Genomic DNA, 9,931 nt, shown 5'->3' on the forward strand with positions numbered 1-9,931 from the left:
TGTCTGCCTGTGAAAATGTTTGCTGGACAATAAATTCCTAGGAGTCAAATAAGGTCAAAGATTATAAATACAGTATTTATTTTCATAAATATTACCAAGTCAGCCACAAATGTTTAAATTACTAATGGTTTCAGATTATTGTATTTAATGAGTAAACACTTTTATAGGGTTTACTTTTATGAACACTTTTATTTGCCAGATATCATTCTAAGTCCTTTACAAAATTAACTTTTTAAATTTGTAATATAACCCTGAGATGTATATTAGGATTATCCCCATTCTACAGATAAGAACACTGAGAAGTTAATTAACTTGCCACATATCTAGGAAGTGACAAGGCTAGTTGCACAGCCAGGCAGTCTGGCTCCTGAGTCCACATTTTAGACAACACTATACCTCCTGGTTCTTTTGAGGCATTACTGCTGGAACTATCCTAATACTCATAAATAAACATTTCTTTTGGGGAGGGCCAAATAAAATTTTAAACAGAAAAGTTTTCACCAACTGTCAAGCTCATAAAGTTGTACGTTATACACTTTTTTCATGATGCCCACAGATAATTTATTAATGATATCATCTATTTTAAAAGACGTATGTAAAACCCAACCCTTAAGAAAGGATTCCTATCACTGTTCCCACAGGCACCCTCCTCAGTCTTATACCTTTCCATTCCACCCCCCAAAACAAATCATTCAGCATATTTATTTCATACTGTAATAGAGGAAGTAGCTTCTTTTTAGATTTTCTTAGATTATTAACATTGATCATACAAACATGGAATAGAAATTCCTTATGTTTTATCTGGATTTAAGGTGCTACATAATGGAATCTATTTCTATCAAGCCATACACATTGGAGATAATGAAATCACTTGTGTTCTAGCCTAAACGTTATGGGAATTTCAGAACTGCAACATAACAGATAATCCTTGGACGAAAACTAAATCTCTCCTCTGGTCAGGCATCTATGTGCATCAGTGAAGAGAAGACGGGGACTGTGGAAGGGAAAACAGTGAGTCAGGAAGGACTGTGGCCACATCTGTTCCCCGGACCCTCAAGTAGTTAAATCCTGACCTCCTCTACCCCAGACTGTCCTGGGGAACGGCCAACACTGGCTTTTCACAACTGTGTGTTACCAGAAATGCAACAGAAACCCAGCTGAATCCCCAGGGTTTCCCTTCTGCCCTTCTCAATGGAAAGATCTGTCCCAGGACCATTTATTCCAACATTTTCAATTATGAGAAATCTGGGAAGATAAAGTTATTTTCACATTTCTCAAGAAATACATACTTATTCATACTCATTACAGGAAAGTCAGAATCTACAGAAAACCAAGAAGATTTTTAAAAATCCATGATACCACCATCAAAAGAGCCACACTTAGTATGTTGGTCCACAGGTTTCCTAGCACCCTTTTCTGTTGGTGTATGCACAAAATACACAATCACATTCTGTCTACATTTTACAATTTGCCATTTTTTGATTAACACTATATATTGACCAATTTTTAAGACCTGCAACATATGTCGACAACATTATTTCAGAATAATATATTTATAAATAAACGCACACACAAACTGTCTGTCTTATATACAACACGTCTTACTTTCTAATTCTCCACTCTGGAAGATTTAGGTTTTCCTAACTTTTTAATATACTCACCAGGAATCAGTAAACTTTTTTTATAAAAGGCCAAAGGGTAGATATTTTAAACTCTGCAGGCCATAGGTTTCTGTTGCAACACTCAACTCTGCTGTTGCAGGGAAAGAAGCCATACACAATTTGTAAATGAATGGGCATGACTGTGTTCTGATAAACTTTACAAAAACAGGTGGTGGACTAGATGCAGCCTGCTCCTCTGGACATGGCTTACCAGCCCCTGACATATACCACTACAGAGGATGCTGTTAGAATGAAATCTCTTTACACATCTCTGATCATCTCCTTAGGACTAATTGCTAGACATGACATCATGGTAGCTGTGGGTCAAAGGGCATGCACGCTCTGGGATGTACATTGCCAGATTGCTCATGATCAGCCTTTCTCATGTCAAAATGTTTTGTGACCACCAGAAGGCTGGTTCTGCTTTTATTATCCATTGACTGAGGAGTAGAAATGACATGGCATGTATGCAGGATATTTAACCATCGTATAGATAATCCTTGTGCACAAGTGCATTCTATATTCTTTCCCAATAGGTCTACATCTGCCAGAGTTGAAATAAAATAAAACAAAACAAACCTATTTAGCACCTTCTGTGTAGCAGGTCCATTCATGTATGTTGTTGTATTTCATTCTCAGAATTCTTATGACCTAGGCATTTTAAACATTTTTTTAAAAATATTGAGTTGACAAGGATTGTGTATATTTAATGCATACAATGTGATGATTTCATATATGTATATATTGTGTACTAATTATCACAATCAAATTTATTACATCCATTACCACCTATGCTGTACATTAAATCTCCAGAATTTGTTCATCTTATAACTGAAAGTTTACACCCTTTGATTAATAGCTTCCCATTTTCCCCACCTCCAGCCCTTGGCAACCACCATTCTACTATCTGTTTTTATGAGTTTGACTCTCTTAGATCCCACATATAAGTGAGATCATACAAAACTTGTCTTTCGGTGTCTGGCTTATTTCACTTAGCGTAATGTCCTCCAGGTTTATCCAGGACAGGAGTTTCTTCTTTTGAATGGCTAATAGTCCATTGTTTATATGTGTTTTATTTATCCATTCATCTGTTGCTGGACACTTAGGCTGTTTCCATATCTTGGGTATTGTGAATAGTGTTGTAATAAACATGGGGCGCAGATCTCTCTTCAAGGTTCTAACCTGATTGCTGAATCGTATGGTAGTTCTGCTTCTAATTTTTTGAGGAACCTCCATACTGTTTTCTGTAAAGGTTATACCACTTTACATTCCAACCAACAGTGTACAAGGGTTCTCTTTCCTCTATGCTTTCGCCAACACTTGTTATCTCTTGTCGTTTTTTTATAAGAGCCATCCTATCCTATGAGGCAATATCTCACTGTGGTTTTGATTTGCATTTCTCTGATGATTAGTGGTGTTGAGCACCTTTTCATATGCTGGCTGGCCATTTGTATATCTTCCTTGGGGAAAAAAGTCCATTGGGGTCCTTTGCCTATTTTTAATTGCGTTATTCATGTATTTATTAATTTTTGCTATTGAATTGTGTGAATTCCTTATATTTTTTCAAATAACCCCTTATCAAATATATGGGTCGCAAATATTTTCTTCCATCCCGTAGGTTGCCTTTTCATTTTGTCATGGTTTCCTTTGCTGTGTAAAACCTTTTAAGATTGATGTAGTCCCATTTATTTATTTTCACTTTTGTTGCCTGTGCTTTGGTGTTACATCAAAAAAAATATTGCCAATTATGACCAATGTCGAGGAGATTTTTCCCTATGTTTACTTCCAGGATTTACATGGTTTCAGATATTACATTTAAATCTTTAATCCACTTTGAGCTAATTTTCGGTATATGATGTAAAACAAGTGTGCAATTTCATTCTTTTTCATGCACTTTCCCCAACACCATTCATTGAAGAGAGTTTCCTTTCTACATTGTGCCTTTTTTTTTTTTTACAGTACAGTGAAAGCAAGTCTATTAAGAAAGTAAAGGAATAAAAGAATCTACATTGTATATCCTTCATGGCCTTGTCAAAGATCTGTTGACCATATATGCACGGGGTTATTTCTGGGTGAGCTTGGCATTTTTTTTTTTTTTTTTTTTTTTTGAGACAGAGTCTCGCTCTGTCGCCCAGGCCGGACTGCGGACTGCAGTGGCGCAATCTCGGCTCACTGCAAGCTCCGCTTCCCGGGTTCACGCCATTCTCCTGCCTCAGCCTCCCGAGTAGCTGGGACCACAGGCGCCCGCCACCGCGCCCGGCTAATTTTTTGTATTTTTAGTAGAGACGGGGTTTCACCTTGTTAGCCAGGATGGTCTCGATCTCCTGACCTCATGATCCACCCGCCTCGGCCTCCCAAAGTGCTGGGATTACAGGCGTGAGCCACCGCGCCCGGCCGAGCTTGGCATTTTTATCTACCTCATTCTACCGATGAGGAGGCCGAGTCTCAGAGAGTTCACAGACCTGCCTAAGGTCACTCAGCTAGAGGTGATACAACCAGGGTTTGAACTGAGATCTGCCAAGCTTCTGAGTTTATTCTTTTTCCCCCACACCAAGGATCCTCAATTCTGCCTTACTGACATCAGGATCCGGTCAATTCTTTGTGATGGGGGCTGTCCTGCACCTGGCAGGATGTTTAGCAGCTTCTCTGGCCTCCACCCACTGGATGCCAGGGGAATGCAGAAGAGGCTTGTTCATTCTCCCATTTAATCCTCAGGACAATATCTGACATAAATGTTACGTCTTTTATTTTATAAATGAAGAAAATGAGACTCAGAAAGGTTTAAGTGAGTTACTTAAGAACACACAGACAGCAAAGGTAGAACTGGAAACCGAACACAGGTGTCCACATGGGACAACAAAAAAGTTCACGTTCCATCTTCTTTTGAGTCTCTCATTTCAATAATTACCATTGTGTGGATATGAGCTGAAGTACAGGAAACCTGGGGCTGAACTCTCCTCCCATCAGGCCTAGGAGCCCCAGACCAGAACCCCAGCCCAAGGTCTCCCAGTCAGGCCCGCTGGCGTGAGCTGGCATCTACACTAGCATGGTCTCCCAAAGCTGCAGGGATGCCAGTCTCGCCGCTGATGAAGAAAATGAAGGGCATTTGCTTCTCATGCAGGCTGTCGGGATTTAACACAGATTCCTTTTCTTGCTCTCTTCTCCCATAGCACAAAACTGGGTGGTCCATCCCCCTCCCAGTGTCCCAAGGCTTTGTTGCGTGTTCTCTTTAATTTCTCCCACTCTTGTGGTGTACCCTACCCTCATCTCCCTGGCAACCTTTCTGCTGTATCCTCTCGACACCTGGATCACAAGAACACTTGTGAGACCCCTTAACAAGTTACATCCCAAATTATCATTCCCCTTTGTCCTCAGCCAGTGCTCAGGTCCAACTTGCTCTCCTGGGGTGACTTTCTTTCCTGCCCAATATGGTTTCATCATCTGTAAATTGGGGATAATTAAAGTCTTGATCCTGATATTTGACTCTCAAAGCAGAAGGAGCAAGCTCAGCCAAGTCACTTCAACAAGAGGAGAAGTTCCTTGTGAACCAAAAGGGCACTGGTCACAAGGGCCGCTCCTTCTTCTGTCAGGCCTCTCCAGCACGCCCTTGGCTCAGCCAAAGAAGAGACTCAGGCTGTGCTTCTGCACTGTTGGGATAACATAGGCCTCTTCCATGTGGTTCCACACCAGGAACATGGGGACAATCAGACCTCTCCCAGTGTGGGCATAAGGATACAAGATCATGTCAATATTGACATTCATAATGGCTGGGCGCAGTGGCACACGCCTGTAATGCCAGCACTTTGGGAGGCTGAGGTGGGCAGATTGCTTGAACCCCAGAGTTCGAAACCAGCCTGGGCGACTTGGCAAAACCAGTCTCTACTGAAAATACAAAAAATTGGCTGGGCTTGGTGGCGCACACCTGTAGTCTCAGCTACTTGGGAGGCTGAGGTGGGAGGATTGCTCAAACCCAGGGAGGTTGAGGCTTCAGTGAGCTATGATGGCACTGCTGTACTCCAACCTGGGCAACAGAGTGAGGCCCTGTCTCAAAACAAAAACAAAGACAAAACAACATTCATAATAGTAGCAATAGCTACTATGTGCCAAGCCCAGGCACCTCTTTGAGTCTTTGCTGGCACTCTATCAGGTAAGCGTGCTTAGAAGTTACACGAAGCACACGGCTCAGTGTTTGGCCCATGGTAAGGGCCTAAAAAGGGATAGCCCCAGTGGTGGGGATGCTGCTGCTGCTGACCATTAACCCCAGTCTGCTCCACCTTCTTCCAGGCAGTCTGTGAGATGTTTCATGTCCGAGGCAAACAGCACATTCAGATCCCCAAGCTCTACACCTCCAGTGTGACCAGGCACCTGCACCACTTCAGGCTCATGCAGGACTCACAGCCTTTGGACCTCAGCTAAAGGACTTGCTTCTCTTCAGCACACGGGGCTTGTTTGTGTTGGGGTCTGAGCCCTGAGCCCATGGTCAAGGAGACCCCCAGGTCTTTCTGAACAGAGACAGCTGGCCTGGGGGCCTCCCTCTCACTGCGTGCAAGAGGCTGTTAGGGTGCAAGACTCAAGGCGCTGAGGGAGGCTGTTTCAGGAGGGAGCCCCAGGAGGGTGGTGGAGACAGAAGGGGGCAGCATCTGCCGAGGCCCTACTGTGTGCCTGGCACCGTGTGGGGTTTCTGGCCCATATGGGCTAAGTGACCCTGCACACTCCTCTTAGGAGAGAGGCTCAGATGGAGAAATTGCAGTTCAGGAAGGTGAAGCAAGCTGCTAGCCTGTGGCCATGTTGGGATCTGGGCCTCAGCCTTCCAGCCACGAAGGCAGCCAAGTGTCATGAAGAAGGCATCACAGAGGCAATTCCAGGCTGTAGTGGTGAACTTTCCACTCTGCATCCCCGGGTGCTGTGCCCTGTGCCCTGTCTAAGGTAGCCCTGTGGGTTTCTATATGTTTAAATTGTCCCCAGCATCAATGATGCTCTCCTGTGGATCCCAAGCCATGGAGATGTCCTGGGACTTTTCATTTTTAGGTACCTAAATTGAATTTCCCAACACACAGAAGCAAGACAGCCGCCCTAACAGACTCTTGCATGCAGTGAGAGGGAGGCCGCCAGGCCAGCTGTCTCTGTTCAGAAAGACCTGGGGGTCTCCTTGACCATGCGCTCAGGGCTCAGACCCCAACACAAACAAGCCCCGTGTGCTGAAGAGAAGCAGGTCCCTTAGCTGAGGTCCAAAGGCTGTGGGTCCTGCATGAGCCTGAAGTGGTGCACGTCCCTGGTCACATTGGAGGTGGAGAGCTTGGGGATCTGAATGTGCTGTTTGCCTTGGATCTTTATTTGTGATTCAGAAACAGTGGAATAAAAGGAAAGGAAAGAAAACCTGAATGGCCACCTCAGCAGGATGCTCCAAGGGTAGTGTCCAGGTGGCACTGACTCAGATATGTGGGGGCTTCCCCCACCCATGCTCAAGAGCCACTTTGCCATTTCACCATCTCTCTGTCCTCCACACCCCTCAGCAGCAAGCACAACAAGAATGTGTTCACCATGAAGCTCAAATCTCAGCAGAATCTAGAGTCTGAAATCCAAGTAAGGGAAAGTGTAGAGCTTCTTGGATGATGCCCTGTCAATTTTATTTTAACGAATGAAAGACCAGAAGAAGTCAGTCTTGAAAGGAGAGGACAGGAGCATCTGCTGGCATTAGCAGCCGTGCCATCGTAGGACCGACTCACCTGGACCCGCGGCCACCTGTGCTTTTACATCTAGTCTTGGTTAACCATGGGCCACTTTTCCAGCTTGGAAACTAAGCATATGCTCCACTTCCTCTCCTTCCTCATTGAACTCTTTCACTAAAAGAACAGTGCAAGAGAGACTTAAACTGTTTGCCTCATTCTTAAGACCTTTCAGGAAAAGTGTTGGCAGGGAAGGAAATCTCCCAGCTCTGGGAAACAGTCTTGTGGATTATCTGCTGGTTTCATTGATCTGTGCTGTCCTCCCTGCATTCATTAGGAAAACTGGCCTTGGTTCAAATAAGAACAGGATTTGTCCTGGTGACAGAGAAAGGTTTCTTCTGATGTCCATATATCTCCGAGGGGGATGCTTTCTCCAGGCAGAGGCTGTGGCCAAGCGATCGGGGGGCTCAGAGGGCTGCTGGGAAGGGGTGGGCCCCTCTCTCCCCAGAGGGAAACTCCTGGGGACCTCTCGAGCACCCCTGCCCATCCTTTAAACATAAATTCATAAATACAAACAAGTAGGCCATTCACAGAAATATATAAAATATGTCATAGGACGGGTGGCACTCTCATATGGCAATAATTATGACAGGGGCCGGCAAATGACCTGAGTGACCCGGAGTGGCCTGAGCACTGACTCCCAAATGCCCTCCATAGGATGTTCTGCATCCCCGAGACCCTTTCCTGGGTCCTCCTGGGCCCTACCACCCCCTAGACCATCCAGACCTCAGGTCATCCCCCTGTCTGTTGACAGAGTAGTCTCCGTTCCTGAATGTGCTGGTCACCAGCAACAGCAGCTGCTCCTCCTCCGGGAAGCTCAGCCTATACTTCTACATGCAGAGAACCTGGACGGCACCCAGGTGGACCTAAGCCTTCAGCTCCCAGTAGACGCTCTGGGTTTCCTACCCTGCCCAGACACTCTGGGCTTCCCCCCACACCTCCCCTCGGCCGGGGCTCCTGTGTGCATCTGTCTCTCCCAGTGCCCAGCACAGGCGTGGAACGGAAGAGGTGAATGGACCGATTTGAACACATCATCCTGGATTCTCCGTTCCCTCTCAAGCCCTGCAGCTAACCCATCGGCAAGCCCTGGAGGCTCTGCCTCCAAAATCCTGCCTATCCCATGTGCAAACGCCTCTCACCACGTCCACTGCTATTTGCAGTTGTGTGTGTGTGGAAATACTTCCACAAATTTGGAATGAACAGGTCACAGCTGTGCCTGGAGGGAATGGCCAGGGAAATGTGCCCTCGCCTTGCTGCTCTATCCAGGCCCACCCAGCTGAGGATGGGGGACCTGCCACCACTCTCCTGGCAGTTCCGGACTCCTGGGAACCGGCAGGTGAGGACCCAAGAGTGTTTTCAGTGACCCGGCTGACCTGGTCATCCGTCAGTCCCACCTTGGCCTAGGCCTCTATACAGCACAGATCACAGCTCATTCCATCCTGGCATTACACTGGCCTGTGCCCTGTCCTCAGGGTCACATCCGTCTCCCAGAAGCCGTGCAACCCTGGAAAACCCAGGTCTAACAGTCAGGTTCCTCCTCCGTGCATTAACAATGGCGTTGACGCCTGCTTTGCGGCACGCTGGGAGGGGAGAGGGAGGTGTATGCTGGAGAGCTCCCCAGGGGCAAGGCCTGGCTCTGCGTCACCCACTGTCAGATCCTGAGAGCCTGGGGCTGGCCCAGCACGTGGCCACCGTTCCCTAAGAGTTGGATTTCATCCCTCAGTGCTGAAGGCAGGGGATAGAGCTTAGACAGACCCCCTGCGTCCTGTCTTCTTTATCTACAGCTTTCTCATCCTTGCCCCTTTCACGTGCACCCGGCAGAGCAGGTGTTCACTGAGCTTGAGCAAAATTCAAGCTAGAGCAGCTGATGGATCTTGAGGCCTAGATTCACTGTCAAAGTGTTTCTCAAACGGTGCTCTCCAGAACACCAAGGAAAACTCATTGACTGTGTAAGTCTGAAAATCCCTGCCCACCGGTCTACCTTTGTGTATGAGCGATCAGCTCTACCATTCAGCCCAGGTGTGTGTTTGCTGGACCATGTGGAGGAAGCTGAAGAGACGTGAGCTGAAGGCAGAGGGTGAGTCCAAGGTGGGATCTTGGGACAGGTACGAGAAGTTAGGCAAAAATGGGATAATTCTAGCCTTCATAACCTTAGATAATAGTTCACATTATTATTTAGTTAATAGAACTGTACCCACATTAAATTTCTTAAATTTTTTTAAGAGATAAAGTCTCACTCTGTCACCCAGGCTGGAGTGCAGTGGTGCAATCATGGCTCACTGCTTCCTGGAACTCGTGGGCTCCAGCAATCCTCCTGCCTCAGCCTCCTGACTAGGTGGGACTATAGGCACACGCCACCATGCCTGGCTAATTTCTTTGACTTTTCTCTAGAGACCGGGTCCACCTAGGTTTCCCAGGCTGGTCTCAGACTTCTAGACTCAAGTGAACCTGAACCTCCCGCCTCGACCTCTCAAATTGCTGGGATTACAGGTGTGAGCCACCACACCCGGCCTAAATTTCTTATGTGCCATGGGACTGCAAAAC

General features: G+C 46.2%; 1 pseudogene; it reads left to right on the plus strand.

The window, feature by feature from the left end:
* Positions 5,840 to 6,712, plus strand: LOC100420853 (nitric oxide synthase 2, inducible pseudogene; annotated as a pseudogene).

The sequence above is a fragment of the Homo sapiens genome, chromosome 17, assembly GCF_000001405.40.
Source record: "Homo sapiens chromosome 17, GRCh38.p14 Primary Assembly".
Taxonomy (NCBI): domain Eukaryota; kingdom Metazoa; phylum Chordata; class Mammalia; order Primates; family Hominidae; genus Homo; species Homo sapiens.